This window comes from Homo sapiens, chromosome 20 (genome assembly GCF_000001405.40).
Source record: "Homo sapiens chromosome 20, GRCh38.p14 Primary Assembly".
Lineage (NCBI taxonomy): Eukaryota > Metazoa > Chordata > Mammalia > Primates > Hominidae > Homo > Homo sapiens.
This window is the reverse complement of record NC_000020.11, coordinates 848,790-869,253: the sequence shown is the minus strand read 5'-3', so window position 1 is coordinate 869,253 and position 20,464 is coordinate 848,790. Positions and strand designations below refer to the sequence as shown.

Genomic DNA, 20,464 nt, shown 5'->3' with positions numbered 1-20,464 from the left:
CGGGCACAGTGGCTCCTAGTCTGTAATCCTAGCACTTTGGGAGGCCAAGGCTGGTGGGTTGCCTGAGCTCAGAAGTTCAAGACCACCCTGGGCAACATGGTGAAACCCCATCTCTACTAAAGATACAAAAACTAGCTGGGCATGGTGACACATGCCTGTAGCCCCAGCTCCTCAGGAGCCTGAGGCAGAAGAATTGCTTGAACCGGGAGGCGGAGGTTGCACTGAGCCGACATCTTGTCACTGCACTCCAGCCTGGGCGATAGAACCAGACTCTGTCTCAAAAAAAAAAAAAAAAAAGAAAAAGAAAAAGAAAAAAGAAATTAGGGCTCAGAGAGGGAAAGGGTCTCATCCAAGGCAGCACAGCCAAGCACCACCTCCAGCGCATTTGCATTTGTGAGCTGCCTTCCTCTCCCAGAGCACTCTGGGCATCTGGGCATCTACCACCAAACTCGTGTACCAAGGGCAGGAGGAACTTCCTGGAAAGGCCTCCAAGACCACTCAGTCTCTCCCACTGGCACTTGATGGATCCATCATTTCTGAGATCTCTGCGTTGTTCCCAGCAAAGGCAGTTTCCACACTGGGGAGAGAGTTCCCTGAGTACACCCCAGAGACAACCACCACAGGTGAGGTAGAAAGTGGCCATGTGCGGGGGGTGAGGGATGGTCCCCACCAGGATGGTTTGTCTCTGCGGCCGAGGGATTTGAGCCTTTTTTCTGAGTTTTCCTCCGCCTCGATCTGTGTGGGCCTTCGCCTCTCCCATTTAAAGATGCTTCCGAAAGCTGACAGCGTCGCCTTGGCAACACCAGTATCAGCATCCTTAAATGAGAAGATGAGGTGAAGTGACTTGCCATGATTTGTTCACTCTACTTCCCCTCCTTAATAAAGCAGCTCACAAAGCTGTAATAATTAATCCAACATGGCACAGGTATAAGGATTAGCAAATGATGACCACAAATAATCCATGCAATATATGTGTATTATTTTTCTTGATCTCACTTAACCTTGAGAAAGAAAATAATTGACCAGACTTGCTTTCTGATGTGACACAAAGGACAAGCCCACATCAGCCCATAGGCTATAAAAACAACTGACAGATATAATAATGCACAACCACTCGATATCTATGTGACCTTAAACAAGTTGCACAACCTCCCTGTGCCTCAGGTTCCCCTCTGTAGCAAACTGGTAACACTGCTGCTTCATGGGGTCATTGAAGGATTGATCAATGAATTTTTCTTTGCTGTGGCATGGGCGTCTTTGGCATCTGGTGAAGCCATGGACCCCTCCTCAGAATGGTGTCTTCACATGCTTAAAATAAAATTAAATGCATTGGATTATGAATGAAACAAATTATATTAAAAACACAGTCATTGGCCGGGCGCGGTGGCTCACGCCTATAATCCCAGCAATTTAGGAGACCGAGGCGGGCGGATCACGAGGTCAGGAGATCGAGACCATCCTGGCTAACACGGTGAAACCCCGTCTCTAGTAAAAATACAAAAAAAGGTTAGCCAGGCATGGTGGCGGGCAACTGTAGTCCCAGCTACTCGGGAGGCTGAGGCAGGAGAATGGCATGAACCCAGGAGGCAGAGCTTGCAGTGAACTGAGATTGTGCCACTGCACTCCAGCCTGGGTGACAGAGCGAGACTCTGTCTCAAAAAATATATATATACTGTCATCAAAATATTTTAAGCTGGGTCCCAGTTACTTGGGAGGCTGAAGTGAGAGGATCACTTGAGCCCAGGGGGTCAAGGCCACCTTGGGCAACATAGCAAGACTTCATCACACACACACACACACACACACACACACACACACACACACACACATATACATATATATATATATACTTTTTTTTTTTTTAAAGAACACAGTTTTGATATTGTACTATATATGCTTCTTTGCTAATACATTAAATAACAAGATCAGTGGTAGGTCAAAACAAATGATGACTGTTAATATTTTGAGATATCTATAATCATTATAACAAGATACAAAAATAGCTATGATTTCTAATGGTGACAAAGTTCCAGGCACTCCTGACACTACTGTGGCTTGTGCCCTACATTCACAATTGAAAGAATGAATTTGTGAATTTGTGAATGCCCTACATTCACAAATGAAGAATGAAACAACCGAATTTAATTAAAGGTGAGTGAAGATACACTTCATCCATGGACCCCAAAAAGACACTAGGTTATGTATCCTTAAAGTAATACATATATTAATTTAGAACATATGTGCTTAGAATAGTACCTGGCATATAGCAAGTACTTGACAAACATTGTTTTTATTAATATATCTTAGGCATAATATAACTCATATATAGTTAATACTCTAAAATGATTGATTTATTAATATATAAATATGCCATTATGCCATATACATCTATCCAGATATTGCATATATGCACATATATGAACATATATGCATATTTGAAACACTGTATGGTTACACTGTACAGTATACCTACTGTGTGGTAGCCACGTACATTGACATGTGCATGAACATGTATGTGCATTTCATACTTGTTGCTACAGACGCAAACATGGAGGTAAAAATACATCTTCCATGTACACATGCAGGTCTGTGAGGCACTTGCTCATGCACACAAGTGGTCACAGGCAGAGAGCCAGATCCACTAGAGATGCTGCCACTCAACTCAGCCTGTCAACAGGCTGACTCTAGAGACCCATTTGGACTCTAGATAGAAACCCCAGAAGTCTTCAGGATCCCTGTTCAAGTCTTGTCCTTGTAGGAGGGGTCCTTTCTAGCGATGGCCAACACCCTGTCTGACCCACATCTCAGAAGAGATGCTACACAGCAAGACCCTGAGCAGTGAGGGACATGAATCATGCCCTTTCCCTTTCCCTTCCTAATATCAGTCCCCAGCTGCAGGGCTAGGTCCTTTAGTCTGAAGGGGTCCCCCAGCCACTGATGTGTTCAGGGACCAAAACTGCAGCCAGTCAGCACATGATATTCCCCTGGCCATGGTTCCTACTGCCAGGGCTGGTCATGTGACTTCAATTAGTTCACTCATACTAAAGAGGAAGACTTAGCGTTTCAGGGATACAGAAAAGTTACCTCTTCTGCTGGCTGGGCGTGGTGGCTCATGCCTGTAATCTCAGCACTTTGGGAGGCTGAGGCGGGTGGATCACCTGAGGTCAGGAGTTTGAGACCAGCCTGGTCAACACGATGAAACCCTGTCTCTACTAAAAATACAAAAATCAGCCAGGAGTGGTGGCAGGCACCCATAATCCCAGCTACTTGGGAGACTGAAGCACAAGAATTGCTTGAATACAGGAGGCAGAGGTTATAGTGAGCTGAGATCGCACCACTGCACTCCAGCCTAGAAGACAGAGCAAGACTCTGTCTAAAAAAAAAAGAAAGAAGAAAGAAAAGAAAAACAAAGATTCTCTCTTCTGTTGATGGAGAAGACACTACACAGCATGGATGCTACTCCAGTGTGGACCACCAGGAGAACCACATTTGGGACCAATCTGACAGGGAGGTGGGAGAGTGAGTGGTTGAGTGGAGGGTCAGAAGGGGCCTGGAGCTTTACTGACATCATTGAGGTCCTGAGTCCTGTCTCTAGATGATCAATTTCTTTTTCATTTAAGCCAGTGGAGTTGGTGTTCTGTTACTTGCAGCCCAGAGCATTCCGAATGATGCAATGCTTACATTTCTGTTTCCTCACTGAACTCCATCCTTACTCTGAGAGAAGAGAACCATATTATATTGCAGAAAACTGAGTCTTAGAGAGGTCAATCAATTTGCTCAAGGTCACATAGACAGTAAACAGAGAAGACAGACCTTTTATATCCAAAACACATCTACCTTCGCCTTTCCACCTTCCATCAGCTGGAAGTTATCAATAAGGGCAGCCAGTTTGGAGTTTGACTCTTGATCCTTTTGTAGCATGCATGTGTTCCTGCTCTGTGCATACAAGCTCTGTGCACAGGTGCCCAGATGCGCATGTGTGTGCTGAGGTTCAACACTGGAACTTATTCAGCTACAACAGATGTGTCCTCTGGGCCCTCGCAGCAACCTGGTATAACACACGTGCCTACAGAGGATGTGTTTGGCATCGCATTCTGCTGCTTTTCTGCTGCTTTTCTGCTTCTTCGACCACATGAATTGGCTTAGGATGCTTAATGTAAGATTTTATATTTTCTTCTTTTCCCCAATTTCTACACTCCATCCCACAAAAAAAGAGCCAAACAGTATTTTCCGTCAAACTGGAAGAAAGGGACTCTGCCAGTCAGGTAAGGGAGGGCAGTTGATAATTGGAATGGCACACCTTGGGACCCAACACAGAGCCCTTCCCTCCTGGGTCTCAGTTCCCCCATCTGGATAATGGGGGCTGGACACCCTCTGGTGACCCTTAGGTGTGGCCTTTGGGAATCTTCAAATCCTCACCATCCGAGCCCAGGCCTCAGTGATCCACATGTGCCACCTTTCCCAGGATCCCACTGCAGATCTCTCACCTTCATTACTTCTTCCTGAGACCAGCTCAAGACCAAATAATGGGAAAGGAAAACTTCTGGGAGCAGAAAAGAATCTAAAAATGCCTGCCCAGTTTGAGCAGGAATGAGCTTGTTGCTCCAACTTAATATATGGAGAGCTTTAAAAGGAGGAAGGGATCCTCTCAGACCCACTAATGTTGACTGAAATTGAGAAAGAGGAAAGCAGCCCTGACATCCAGGGGCCATCCTGGATAGTCATCAGCTAGGACTGGGTGTTGCTGCAAGTCAGCCCAACATGCACAGAGAACAGCTTATGTCCTGTCCAATGTTAATGATTCCCCAGAACACCAACATCAGATGAGGTCCTCAGTGATTGATGAATCAAGACGAAAAGTGGAACACTCTGTAATCATGTCTGAACAAAGACAAATCATGCACATTTCCAAGCCACGAAAATGACCAAACACCCCTCAGTCCCAGCTAATACAAGTGACCGCTGCTTCTTTCCCAATGACAGCATTAGCCTTGCCAGAGTCTGCCTTCTCTATAGACAAGACTTGTTAAGATCGCAACTGCATAATTACCCTCACTTCCTGAGAGCATCCAATCTGAAGAAAAACCCCACATCCTCAAACCCTATTCAAGTCACCTAACACGAGACCAATCCTATAATAAGCCTTTTCTAACACTCTCACTAAGACATTCCAAGGTTCCCCATGCTGTGCACTTTCTTGTCCCAGTGAGTAATAGAACCACTTGTTTAACTACAGGTGCATTCCTGTTGATCTTAGGCCCTTAGGAGGGCATTGACGGTAAACTACTTATTTGTGTGCATTCATGAAGTGAGCTATCAACTCCTTAGGCTTATAGTTCCCAAACAACTAAAAAGACTGAAACAAAATTATCAATCAAATACTAATGCACTATAAAACTAATAATAATTATTATTATTTATAATTAAGTTATTAATAATCATGATTTTTTTTTTTGAGACAGATTCTCACTCTGTCACCCAGGCTGGAGTGCAGTGATGCAATCATAGCTCACTGTAACCTCTGCCTTCCAGGCTCAATAGATCCTCCCACCTCAGCCTCCCAAGTAGCTGGGACTAGAGACATGTGCCACCATGCCCAGGTAACTTTTGTATTTTTTGTAGAGACAGGGTTTTGCCAAGTTGCCCAGGCTGGTCTCAAACTCCTGGGCTCAAGTAGTCCACTGGCTTTGGCCTCCCAAAGGGCTGGGATTATAGGCATGAGCCACCACACCTGGCCAACGATGATTATTGTTACTGTTTATTCACCCAAACACTGCTGTAGGTACTGTCCCTGCCTCTCTGATTCAATTATCACAACCTCCCTGAGAAATAAATTCTGCATCCATTTAAAATTGGGTTTGACTGCATGTAATAGAAAACCCAAATAACATAGATCTACGAAACAAAAGGGTTTGTTTATCTGTTAGCTTTTGCTACATAAAAAATACTTATTAGCTTAAGTAGCTTAAGTGCGTCACCCTCCAGGAGGTGGAACATAACTCCCACTCCTTAAGCACGGGCTGCATGGAGTGACTTTCTTCCAAAGAGTATGGCGTTGAATGGAGGACAGAAACAGTGATTTTGCAGTGGAGAAACGTGCCAGCAATCAAGGTCAACATCCACAGTGAGAAGTCGTATTGATAGAATGTCCCCCCATCTGAAGCGATGACATTGACACTTCACCTCTGCGGTCTTCCTCCCTAAACACATCACCCCTGTCTAATCACAAGAAAATCACCAGAAAAATCCCTATTGAGGAACATGTTACAAAATACCTGACCAGTTGTCCTCAAAACTATGAGGTTCATCAAAAACAAGGAAAGTCTTTGAAACCGTCACAACCAGGTGGAGCCTAAGGAGACACAACTAAATGTAATGTGGGAGCCTGGATGGGATCCTGGAACAGAAAAGGGGTATTAGGGAGAAACTGAGGAAATCTGAATGAAGTATGGGCTTTTCAGTTAATAATGACAGTATGGCTCATTCATTGTGACATATGTACCATGCCCTAATATAAGATTTTTTGGTTTTAATATGTATCATACCCTAATATAAGATTTTCTGGTTTTGGTTTTCGGGTTTTTTTACAGACAGGGTCTTGCTCTGTCACCCACACTGGAGTACAGTGGTGTGATCATAGCTCACTGAAGCCCCAAACTCCTGGGCTCAAGTAATCCTTCCACCTCAGCCTCCTGAGTAACTAGGACTACTGGTATGCCATGACACCCAGCTCAATTTTTTATTTTTATTTTTGTAGGAAGAGGGCCTTGCTCTGTTGCCCAGGCTGGTCTCAAACTCTTGGCCTTAAGTGATCCTCCTACCTTGGACTCCCAAAGTGCTGGGATTACAGGTGTAAGCCACCTCGCCTGGCCTATAAGATGTTAATAATAGGAGAAACTGGGTGTGGGGTATGCAGGCACTCTCTGTACTATCTTTGCAATGATTCTTACATCTAAAATTGTCCTAAAATAAAAGGCTGACTTAAAAAAAAAAAAAAAAAAAAAAAAAAGTCAGGGAAGAGTCAGCCCAGGGCTGCTGCAGTCTCTATGGTATCATCAATGTTTCAGGTTCCTTCCAGCCTCATGTTGCTTCATCCTTATCATGTGTCTTCATCCTGAAGGTCACTTCTTGATCCTAGATGGCTGCTGGGGCTGCTGCCATAATGCCTGAGTTCCATATAGGAAGAAGGAGAAAGAAGAGTATATGGGCTTTCCTCCCAGATGCATTGGCCCCCTCTAGGGATAGTCCTCAGAAGTCTCTCACTGAATAACTTCCACTCGCTGGCCACCAGTAGCTGTAAGAGAGGCTGGGAATAAAGTCTTACTTAGCTAGATATATCACCATCGGGAATAAAATCAGGGTTTGGTCAACAAAAAACAGGAAAAGAAGGGAATTGCATAGGCAATCAGCAGTCTATCAGGTGCTATTACAATTCCATTTTAAAGATGAACAAAACTGAGGCTTAGAGAGGTTGAGTGATTTGCCCATAGTCTGAGGACTAGGCCAAGAGGAAAACACATTTGAAGTCAGAAATTATGAGTTTTAAGCCTGCATCCCTAAGCATTAAGCTATGCTGCCATATCATCAATGCAACAATATTAATTAATTAATGATATGGTTGATGTTGCTTTGCTAAACCAGAGTTGCCACCAGCAGTGTGAATGTGGGACACTCAATTGCGATGCCATTTTGTTTGGGTTTGTCACGCACTTCCACCCAACTCTGCATGCTGATGATGGCTTTGTTCTCCCACCATTTGGCACCATTTCACCCATGGTGAAATTTCTCCCCACCCTGTACTTCTGCATCACTGGCCTTCACTTAGCAGGAATTCATCTTTACATATCAAAGCCACCTCTGCCATTTTCTCCTCCGATTACAATGGTAAAGTGTAGTGGGCAAGATCACAGGCTCGCTGTTAACATTGCTTCAAGTTACTTAACCTTAACCTCTCTGCACCTTGACTGCCTGATCTGTGAAATGGGGATGCTGATGGCATTTATCTTATAGGGTTGTTGTGAGGATTAAATAAAATTTTAAAAAATAGATAAAAAATGCAAAGCGTAGTGCCTGGGCCATAGTTAGTTCTCAACAAATGCTATTATTTGCTGCCAGTGTGATCCCAAGTCCAAACGCAAGCTCAGGCAGGACTTACCTGTGGCTCTGCAGATGATTCATGATATGCTTGAGTTACATGTTTAGGATTATCATCAAAATGAAAGCAAACAGTTTAAAAATTCCTCTGGAGAACTCATTAGCCACTACCCCCAATTCACCCTCCTTAAATTTAGAGCAAAAAGCAACACTTTTTTAGATCTGGCCCAGACTCTAGTTCTGCCATGAACTTGTGGTATGACCCTGCACAAGACTCTGTCCCTCTCTGGGCTCAGTTTACTCAGCCCCCTCCTGGGCCATTGATGCTGTTGCCAAGGCCAAATGTGACAATTGGTTGGGAAAGAAATCTGTGATCTGCCAAGTGCCTGGGGACCCTGTTCACCTGGGGTAAACAGGTCCTGGTGATAATTAGAAATAAGCTTCCTAACCCAGGAAATTTTCCCTCTGAGGGCTGGGATTTGCAGGGCCCAGCTCTCCCGGGTCTGTCCTAAACCTGTTGTGTGGCTTTAAGTAAAGCCTTTCCTCTCTCTGATCCTTAGTGTCCCCATCTGCTTACTAAGGTGCCCCCTGGTTCCATCCCAGACAGAGAAGTTAAGTGATTTGCCCAAGGTCACATGGCAGTACATCATGAAGAACCAGACTCTGGGTCCAGTGCTCTTTCTGCCCAGAACTACTCCACAGAGGGCCACTGCTCCATTGCACAGTCTCCCCTTAACCCCCAGCAGTGCTGTCTCCCTAGTCACCACATTGGCCAAGGTGAACTGGGTGGCAAACACCGAAAAACTGACTAACCAAGGAGCCCAGCAGTGGATTTATTGAAAGGCATTTCCAGGATGAGGGAAGAGCAAACCCCCAAAACGAGTACTCTTGTGGGAAGAACAGGAAAAGGCATCTCTGGGGAGCTCAGGGGCAGGGCCTGTGGCTTTCCTCTCTAGGGTGCTGGCCAGGAATGATGCATCTCCAGCCACTCTCTGTCTGTGTGCCCCATTCAAGTTTCAAATTTCCAATAGAGACTGTTGAGTGCCCAGCCTGCCGTCAGGTGTCTGTTAACACCAGTGAATCAGCTATGGTCAGAGGATTGCGTGCACAATTCAGACATGGCCAGTGGGAACATCACAGTGATAACCACCCCAGTTTGTGTCCATGACACACATTCCCACCTCCAGGCATGTGCACAAGCCATTGCCTTCCTCTAGAGGGAAACAGGAAGTAGTTCTCAGAACTGGGAACAGAAATAAATGCATATTTTCATTTTCACAAACCTGCCTGTGGGTTTACCACTTATAAGCACTGTGATACTCAGAGCCTGGCTTTAGGTGGTTGCACAGGCAGGGATTTGGAGGGAAATGAACTAATTTTGTTTTCCCAGAAATGCACGCATGCCTTGCTCAGCCTACAAACGTCTGTCTCTAAGAAAACCAAACTTTCTCACCCTGGGAGGCTCGGCCCTGTTGCCCCTTCCAGCAGGCACAACCAAACTCACACACTAGAAATGGTGATCATGATGATAACACAACTAGCTAACATTTTCTCAGTCACTCTACTAGGTATCTGACCTGCATCTCTCCTGTAATAGGAGGTATTATTAATAGCCCCGTTTTATGGGTGAGAAAACTGGGACTCAGAGAGCTTGAGTAACATATTCAAGGTCACACAGCTAGTGAGAAGCAGAGCCGGAATTTGAATCCTCATATAGTTAGAGCTGCAAGGGCCCCCCCAAACACATCAAGAACACAAGACCCTTTAGCAGATGGGGAAGCTGAGGCCCATGCAGAGGAAGAGGTTGGATACATGCATTTACAGTGCTCCCGCCAAGAGTTTCACCTTCATTAGCTCATTGACCATTGGAGGAAAGCATCCCTACTCCCATCTTATACATGTGGACACTGCAGCTCAGCAAAGGGGAGTCCCTCAACCAGGGTCACATAGCTGGTGAGTGGCAGAGTTGGGATTCTAGCCAGGCCCAAGGTTGTGATTTTTCCTCTCTTCCCTGGGGTCTCAGATTCAGGCCTGGCTCGTGCACCCTTGGCCCATGCTCTGCTGTGGGGGTGAGGGCCTGCACCAGTGGGGAGCCTGCCTGAACTCGCTGCTTGGGGAGCCGAGGGTAGATAGTGGGTAGCCAGGAGCTGGCTCTCTGGGAGTCCTGATGAGCAGGGGTTGGCAGAGGGGCAGGTACTACAGCCTCCTAAGAGAGGAGAGGCTGGGACTCGCGACACCTCCAGAGCTGGGACAGTTTCTGCCTGATGTCGCCTCCCTTCAGGAACCACGCCTCAAGTCCTCTGTGCTCTCTGAGCCTCAGTTTCCCCATATGTACATGGGGGGGGTGGGCTTAGTGGTTGCTAAGCACTCTTTTAGCTCTCACACTGTAGGATTCTAGTATGCCCGTATCAGTCATCTATTGCTACATAACAAATTATCACAAACTTAGTGACTTAGCACCCATTTATTTTCTTACAGTTTCTGCAGGTCAGAAGTCCTGGCATGAAATGATTGGCTTCTCTGCTTAGGTCTCACCAGGCTGAAATCACCGTGTCAGCTAGGCTGTGATCCTTTGTGCGGCTCAGGGTCCACTCTAAGTTCCTTTGGTTGTCAGCACAGTTCAACTTCTTGTGGTTGCCGGTCTGAGATGCATGTTTCCTTGCCAGCTGGGAGCTGGAGGGCCACTCTCAGTTCCTAGAGGTCACCTTGGGTCCTAGCCTTCTTTCATGTCCCTACTTTCCCCACATCCCACGTCCAATACATCCCCTGTTGGCTCCACATTCGGGGTAGATCCAGAAAGATCCAGAATCCCACACCCCTCAGCCCCCACCGCCTCCACCCCAGTCCAACTCCTTCATCTCCTGCCAGGACTATTACAGTAGCCTCCTCCCTGCAGCCCTGCAGCCCATTCTCCACTTGGTAGCTGGAGATGGGGGAAGGTGTTAAAATGCAAGTCTGATCCTGTCCCACCTCTGCTCAGATTCCTCCCACGGGTTCTCAGAGGAAAAACCAATGTCCTCAGCCAGGTGCAGTGGCTCTCACCTGTAATCCCAACACTTCAGGAGGCTGAGGTGGGCGGATCACCTGACGTCAGGCATTTGAGACCAGCCTGGACAACATGGCAAAACCCCATCTCTACAAAAATATAAAATGGGCGTGGGGGCACGTGCCTGTAGTCCCAGCTACTTGGGAGGCTAAGCCGGGGAATTACTTTAATGCAGGAGGCGGAGGTTGCAGTGAGCCGAGATTGTGTCACTGCACTCCAGCCTGGGTGACAGAGCGAGACTCCATGTCAAAAGAAAAAAATACCAATGTCCTCACCATGATGTATGTGACCCTATACCATCTAGCCTCATTCCACATGGAGCACACCTCCTAGCCCTCTCCCCTCACGTCCTTCACTCCCTCCTTGATGGCCTCCATGCTGTTCCTCAAACACTCCAGGCACATACTGACTCTGTTTCCTCAGCCCAGAACACTCTTCCCTGCAGACACCCCTTACCTCCTTCTGGCCTCTCCTGAAATATCACCGAGCCGGTGACACCTTATCTGACCATCCTGTTTAAAAGCATGAGATCTGCTTCTAATAAAGCTACCCTTACCACGAGGTCCAGCAATTCCACTCCGTGGTAGTTACCCAAGAGAAATGAAAATATGCATCCACACAAAGAGTTGTTCACAAATGTTTATAGTAGCTTTATTTGTAATAGCCAAGAAATGGGAACAACCTGTATGTCCGTCAACAAGTTGGATGAATAAACAAAATACAGTGCATCCACACTGTGGAATACTACTCGTCAGTAAAAAGGAACAAGCTACAGATACACTCAGCAACACGGGCGAATCTCAACCAAGTCCATGATGCTGACTGAGAGAAGCCAGATTCCATTTGCATGAACTCTGGGAAAGACAAAGCTGATCTACAGTGAAAGAAAACTGATCTGTAGTTTCTTCGGGTGGGAGCGGGTGGGAGTCAGGGGCTGACTGTGGGGGGCGTGAAGGAACATGGTGGGATGATACAGGAATTCTAGCACTTGTCTGTAGTGCCATACAACTGTCAAAATGCATCCAACTGTACACCTAAAATGGGCCAATTTTATTGTTTATCAATTCAACCTCAATAAAAAAAGGAAAAAAAATCTCTAGTTCCCCATCCTTCCCTGCTTCATTTTTCTCCTTAGCATTTTCACTCTGGCAAGTATTGTCTGTGTCCCCTCTGGAATGTCAGCTCCTCGAGGGCAGGGATTTTTATCTGTTTTGTTTTCTGTTGCATCTTCAGTTCCTAGAAGAGTGTTTGGCACACAGTAGGTGCTCAATGGATATTGATGAATGAAGGAATGAATTCAGTCCCTGCAGGCTGATTCATTGACAGGGATGGCTGTTTTGGAGTGTCCATACACCCACCTGGAGGCTGCAGAACAAAGGCGAGATGGGAGGGCCTGTGAGACTGTGGGCAGTGGCATCATTCCATCTGAGGCCGTGTCATTGCTCAGGCATTTGGACGACGCCATTCCCGGGGCGGTGTCATGCCCACCAACCACCTTGGCGGGTGGCCCAGCCCAGAACCTGATGTGCGTTAGCTGGGATTTCCTTTGGGTGCTGTGTGTGTGGAAACCCAAATATGACCGTAGAGGGTGGAGCCACAAAACCAAGCTGGGCAGAGCCCACAGTGTGGCATGAGGTTGCCCGGGGGCGGTAGCTGGCTGGGCCTGCAGGCTTGCTTGTCCGTCTCTGTTTCAGGTTTCTTGTCTACTTTCACTTTACTTTAAATGTATTTTTATTTTTTCTGCACAGATAACACATTCACATGATTCAAAATTCAAAAGGTGTGCAAAGTAGTGAGTCTTGCCTCCCACCCTTGAGCCCAACCCTCGGGTTCCCCTCCCCAGGGGCAGCCAGCATGCAGGGTTCCCAGGATAATTCTCCAGGGTTCTGTGCCAGTACAAGAGTACATGGACATGTGTTCCTGCTTCCACAAGCAGCAGCACACTGTGGGTATCATGCCACAACTTGTTTTGTTCACTGACCTGTGTTGTGTATCTTGTGATTCCACATCAGGTGTTTGCAGGACATCTTTTGAGGGCTGCCTAGGATTCCCTTGCGTACCTGGGCCTGAGTTTCTTTAGCCATTTCTCAAATAATTTCCAATTATTTGCTATTGTAAGCAATGATATAATAAATAACTTAAATGCTTGGTATATGGGGGTAATTTTACATGTAAGTTGTTACTTGCCCACATTTAAACGGTGAGAGAATAACATGCCAAACATTTTTTGCAGCCTCACTAATCAGGAGAACTTGGAAGCTTTGGCCCCACTAAGTCCGAGATCCTGGATTACAGCAGACTGGGCAGGGCCTCTCCATTTACCTCCGTCCCACCCCTGATTTGCCAACAGGAACACTGGAGACACAGACAGGGAGTGACACACCTACCCAGGGACACAACACATGCCAGCGGGGCTTGGACCCCAGAGGGGTGAGTGCCGGGGGCCTCTGCCCTCCCTGGCTGTAACCTCAGTCACATGGCTTCCCGCTTCTGAGACTACGCTGGAGGAAATGGGAACCACGCCCACTTCATCATGATGCCCCCTCCCAGGAACGAACTCCCCTGGAGCAGCTGGCTCTGTACTGGACATACAGTTGGTGCTTGGGGCTTGGTAGGTGTTCATTAGCTAGTTTATATATACATTATTCTTCCAATGGTTTAGATGTGTAAATATTGACAACAAATTACCTTTTTTTTGAGACGGAGTCTTGCTCTATTGCCCAGGCTGGAGAGCAGTGGCACAATCTCGGCTCAGTGCAACCTCAGCTTCTGGGCTCAAGCGATTCTCCTGCCTCAGCCTCCCGAGTAGCTGGGACTACAGGTGCCCGCCACCATGCCTGGTGAATTTTTGGATTTTTAGTAGTGACGGGGTTTCACCATGTTGGCCAGGCTGGTCTTGAGCTCCTGACCTCATGATCCACCCACCTGGGCCTCCCAAAATGCTGGGATTACAGGTGTAAGCCACTGTGCCCAGCCTACAGATTACATTTTTTAAAACCTGTGCAATGTATACAATGCTAGTCCTGATAGTGCCCCAGTGCCCAGGATTAAGGGATTTGTCCTATTAGCAGACACTGAGGTGGGGGTGGCCCAGCAATCCACACAGTATAGAAGTAGCAAAGGTGGGATTTGAACCCAGGCCACCTGGCTCCAGGTGCTCATAGTCATCACATCTTATCAGAGACCCGGGGCACTGGTGGTTAAGGGAGGGCACTGTTTGATAGTGAGACCACACACACACACACACACACACACAAACACAAACACACACACGTGCACGCGGTGACAGGACAGGGCTGGGCAAGACTTGGGCCTGAATCATAACTGCAACGTAACCTCAGTGAGGCAGTTGTCATCTCTGAGCCTCAGTGTCCTCACCAGTAAAGTAGCTACTGAGCAGGGGTGAAATTAGAAACAAACCAAGAAAAAGATTTGCAAGCTGCAAGGGCTGCAGGCCTGTAGAGGATGAAGGGATTTATCCTGCCGGTGGACACTGAGGGAGGAGGGACAATAGGTGGGGAGGGAGGTCTGGGACATCCAGCATGCCCTGTTTGCCCTTAAGAACCTTCCAGGACTGCCTGGCCCAGCTGTCAGGTGGCCTTGATCCCAGCCCGGCACCAGGCTGGCAGGCTCCAGACAGAGCCCCCTGGCTCCAGCTTGGCACCCCAGGGAGGGTAGGGGCCCAAGCTAGGGGCTGAGCTAGGCTATTTTCAAACGCCAGAAGGCCAAAGGGAAGGCCCCAGCTCCCTTCTTCCTACATAGGCCCCCTCCACAGCCTGGAGTACTCCTTTCCTGTCCTAGAACCTCCCTAGAGACCACAAATGCCTCACAGCTCAACTGGAGAAACCAAGGAACAGAAAGGATCGCCCAGCTAGAACTTGAACCCAGACCTCCTAATTTCCAGGAGCTAGTTCTTTCCAGCATTCACTCACTCATTTTCACTCATTTCTTTATTCACAAATGTTTATGGAATGCCTACTCTTCCCCTGAGGCTGAGGACACAGCCTAGAGCAAGGCCAAGTCCCTGCCTGCTGAGCTGCACTCTGGTGAGAGATCCAGAAGAGAAACAGACAATGTGGCCTCTGGTTAATATAAGCCAGGAGGTGATATGTGCTAGGAAGAGAAATAAACCAGGCCAGGGAAGTAGAGACTGCTGGATGCTGACTGCTTAGCTGGAGGGGCAGGGGGGTTGTGGTGGGTTGGTAGGGAAGGCCCCTTTGAAGAGGCAGAGATGGAAATGAAGTGACAGAATGAGTCATCAGAATATCTGGGTAGGGTCGATACTAGTAAAGGCAATGGCAAGTGCAAAGGCCCTGAGGTGGGAATGTGTCCAGGGTGTTCCTGGAACAGGAAGGAGGCAGCATGGCTGCAGCAGAGTAGGTAAAGGGGAGACTGGAGGAGTAACAAGGTCCCCGATCATGAGGGCCTTGTGGAGCAGTTAGGCCTTTCGGTTTTATTTTAGGCTGCCTGGCAAGACAGACCCTCACATTGTTCAAAGGCTCCAGCAGCCCCACACCATCTGGCCCTGGTGCTTCAGGCCCAGCCCCACCCACCTTCTCTGTGTTCCTGGAATCTACTCCTCCCACCACAGGGCCTTTGCACATGCCCTCCATCTAGAATCATTTTCCACTCCTATCTTTCTTCTCCTCGTTGTCTCCTACCTACCCTTCACATCTCAGCTTAAATATCTTTGGCTTCTCAGATCAACCTGGCCAGGTCAGCAATCTCTCCTTCCGGAATCTACTCTCAATGGTCATACAATTATTAGGATGATCAATTAACATCTGTCTACAACCTAGGCTGTGAGCTTCACAAGAGCAGGTGTTTTGGTCCATTTTGTTCACTGCAATATCCTCGGGGTGGGACCAGTAGTTGGTATATAGGAGGCCTCAATAAATATGTGCTGCGTTTGTAAACAAATGAGTAGCACAAGCACTTTATAAAGATCATCTCGTTTCATTCAATTTTATCCAATTTACGGAAGCTCAGAGAATGAGACAACTTGACTAAGGTCAGACAGCAAGGACGGAAGAGCCAGGACTGCAGCCCAGAGTTTTTTTTATTTCCAAAACTGAGAACTGTCCCTAGTTCTTTACCTGCACACACAGGTAAGTTGTTTGAAAATCAGCTACAATAATTCCTCCATATCTGTACTCATGCCCTGTGTAATGTGACTAAGAGATGGATTCTAAGCCAGGCGCGGTGCCTCATGCCTATAATCCCAGCACTCTGGGAGGCCAAGGCGGGCAGATCATGAGGTCAAGAGATCGAGACCAGTCTGGCCAATATGGTGAAACCCCATCTCTACTAAAAATACAAAAATTAGCTGGGCGTGGTGACACGCACCTGTAGTCCCAACTACTCAGGAGGCTGAGGCAGGAGAATTGCTTGAACCAGGAAGCGGAGGTTGCACCGAGCCAAGATCGCGCCACTGCACTCCAGCCTGGGCGATGGAGCCAGGCAAGCCGGGCTTGTTTTCAAAGAACAAAAACACAACCGAGAGAGAGAGAGAGAGAGTCTATTTCTCCATCCTTTGAATCTGACTTGACATGTCACTTGGGCTATTAGGACATTTATAATCTTGACACAAGTAGAGGCTCAAAATGCACTGTGCGTTGGAGCTTATCTTCTCTTGCTGAATGTGGAACCCTGAGGTCACCATAAGCATGAGCCCAAGCCAGCCTCATCAAAGCAAATGGAGGCACCCCAGCAAACAGCCTGCCAACTGCTAAGCATGTGAGTGAAGCCCTCCCAGAGCCCCCACCCTCAGCTGACTGCAGCAAGGCAAGTGAACCCAGGTAAAACCAGAACTGCCCAGCTAAGCCCAGGCCAGACTGCCACTTCACACAGGCTAATAAGTGGTTTTAGGCTTCTGGGCTTAGAGTGGTTTGTTATGCAGCAGAGCCTCACTGATCCACATACCTGGTGGACACACCCTCTGCAGACAACACACTCTCAAGGGTACACAGATATGCCTTCATAAATGGCCTCCACAGAAAGTCTGTTGCTGCCACACTGACACACACCCCTTGCAGGCCACACACACACACACATACACACAGCCATCACTCAACCCCAAACACCCCTTTATTTAGACAACTTTCCTGGCCGCTTGCATGTCAATGTCAATGCCTATCTGGGAATGGGTGAGTCAATACTGCCCAAGCTCTATGTCCCTGGCACTGCCCAGCCCAGGGTTGGGCGTGGAAAAGGCGCCCAGTAGATTTGTGTTGAATGAATGGATGAATAAAGCGAAGGGCATGGAATGAGCCAGAGGTTAGCACCAGTGGGTAGACAGGAGAGGACGAGGCAGATACAGGATGAGGTGGGGACAGGAGCTGGGCATCTGGATGTGAGAGACAGTGCAGTGTGTGGTTAAGAACCCAACTGCATAGGTTCAAATACTGCCTCTGCCGCTTATTAGCTGTGTGACCCTGGCCTTGGACTCTCCTGGCCTTAGTTTCCCCATCTATGAAATTGTGATAAAAATATGACCCCTTTCAATGGGTCTTTGGGAGGATTTGATGGGACAATACATGGAAGTTCTTCGCACAGCCCTTGGAACATAACAGCCGTTTACTGCCCTTACCCACCAAGACCCTCTTCGTCCTATGGTACTTCCTCTGGGAAACCCGCTCCCCAGCTCCCATTGCTCCGCTGCAATCCACAGCCTCCGCTCTATCCCACAGCTCTTGTGAGCCCCTCAAGGGATGGGGAGATCATTGCTCTATACCCAGCAGCCACAACACAGCCCCAGACAACATGGTTAAGGAGTGATTGCAGAATGACAAAATGATCCTCATTTTACAAATAAGTAAATCTGGGCTCCCTGAGGTCCTGAGATTCCTAGAGGTGCTGAGGTGTTCCCCGGTAAATGCAGAGGCTGGGGGTGTGGAGCTTCAGTTTTCATCCCTCTTGGAAACCCACATGGGCAGGGATATCCCCTATTTGGCTACCTTCCCACTCTGCCTAGCACAGCTCCTGGCACATAGTGGATGCTCACAAATCTTTATTTTACAGATTGTATTTGAGATTCTATTTTAAAAATTGGCTCCAGTTTTTTTTAAATGGATGGGGATGCTTCTTTAAAAGCACTTGAAGAGTTTCAGGATGTGTAATGTTAACTATGGGGAGACTGAGGGTGTCAAAGAATTAAGAGAATTAAGGATGGGTTAAGAGGAAACAGCAAATGAAAAAAAGCAAAGCGAGTAGTAACTCCAGGAAGAACAAAGAGTTGTACAAGAAAGGAAATGTAACCAAAATATATGACTTGGCTTGAAAGGAAACAGTATTTACATAGTCATAATATAAATAACACTAAAATCCACTTCACAAAAAATTGTGATAAATGCCAATTGAAAGGGGGGAACCAAAAGCTAAATCTTTCTTGATAATAATGATTATGAGAAGAAAAAGTTTGACTACTCACTGGGTGATGTTCATTATTCTCAGCCTTTTACATCTTGAATCCGTATAACAATCCAATAACCTCAGCACTATTATTATCACCCTCATTTTACAAATGAGAAAACTGAGGCCCAAGGAGGTTAAGTTACTGCCCAAGGTCATACAGCCAGAAAGAGGAAGGGCTGGGATCCAAAGCCAGGCAGCCAGGCAGTGGAGGCCACACTATGAAAACATCAGACCAGAAAGTCAGTCAATATGTGCCTAAAATTGGTCAGACACACTGGCTCACGCCTGTAATCCCAGCACTGTGGGAAGCCAAGGTGGGTGGATCACTTGAGGTCAGGAATTCAAGACCAGCCTGGTCAACATGGTGAAACCCCATCTCTACAAAAAATACAAAAATTAGCCAGGCGTGGTGGCACACACCTGTAGTCCCAGCTACTTAGGTGGCTGAGGCAGGAGAATCGCTTGAACCTGGGAGGCAGGGGTTACAGTGAGCCAAGATCACACCACTGCACTCCAGCCGGGGCAACAGAGCAAGATTCTGTCTCAAAAAAAAAATAAATATATATGTGTGTGTGTGTGTGTGTGTGTGTGTGTGTGTGTGTGTGTATGCCTAAAATTGATCAAGAAAACAGCAGGAAAAGCAAGTTATTTAAAAATATGGAGGAAAGTACCAGAAGAAATAGTTTAAGAAGTTGTAAGTGGTTGCTTTTGGGGAGCGAGGCTGATGTAGAGGAAAGGACAAGGGATGCTGCTTGTTAGTACTGATATATATGGATATAAAAATATGTCCATGGTGGGCAGGCAGCAATCGGCAGGAGAGCGATGCAAGGAAACTTTCTGAGGTGATAATGCTTGATACCCTGATAGGGGTTTGGGGTACAGTATGCATTTGTCTAAATTCAGCAAATGGCACCTTTAAGATCTGTGCATTTCATTCCATGTAAATGTTACCTAGAGAGGAACAAGACAAACAAATATTGAATTCTAGCTAATGGCATGCACACTAAAGTGACTTTAAGGGAAGTGTACTGATATATGCAACTTAATTTGAAAAGCTTTATTAAAAAATAAGTTGTATTAAAAAAATAAGTTGTATTAATGGATGGAGAGATGGGTAGATTCCTGATAGAGCAAATATAGTGAAATATTAACAAGTGTGCATTAGTAGGTGGGTATATGAATGTTCACTGTCTAATTCTTTCAACTCTATGTTTGAAATTTTTCTTAATAAAATGTTGGAAGAAATATATGAGTGAATTATCTGAAAAATAATATTACCTTTTATTTTATTTTTATTCTACTTTAAGTTCTGAGATACATGTGCAGAATGTGCAGGTTTGTTACATAGATATGTATGTGCCACGGTGGTTTGCTGTACCCATCAACCAATATTACCTTTTTAAAAACCTGGATGGGGTGTTCACTCCTTTTTTTTTTTTTTTGAGAGGGAGTCTTTCTTTGTCACCCAGGCTGGAGGGCAGTGCTATGATATTGGCTCACTGCAACCTCCACCTCCAGGGTTCAAGCGAATCTCATGCCTCAGCCTCCCAAGTAGCTGGGATTATAGGTGTCCGCCACTATGCCTAGCTAATTTTTGTATTTTTAGTAGAGACGGGATTTCACCACGTTGTCCAGGCTGGTCTCAAACTCCTGGTTTCAAGTGATCCGCCTGCCTTGGCCTCCCAAAGTGCTGGGATTACAGACGTGAGCCACCGCACCCGGCCGGGTGTTCAGGCCACCCAGATGGACCAGCACAACTGTAAGCCCTCCTATATGCACATCTAATTGGCAGCCAGCTGCAGCCATGCTCTCATCTATATCCTATGACCCTACCCTGGGGTCCTAGAGTCAAGGACCTATAGCCAAATTCCTCAACCCTTTCCTGGTCCCCTGTACACAGGATATCAGGTA

General features: G+C 46.8%; 1 annotated feature.

The window, feature by feature from the left end:
- Nucleotides 12,118-13,104: an enhancer, noted in NCBI's record as "H3K27ac-H3K4me1 hESC enhancer chr20:836793-837779 (GRCh37/hg19 assembly coordinates)". NCBI's record gives its function as "activates a minimal SCP1, AML or CMV promoter by ChIP-STARR-seq in naive H9 embryonic stem cells {active_cell/tissue: H9 hESC(naive)}" and the evidence as "EXISTENCE:reporter gene assay evidence [ECO:0000049][PMID:30033119]".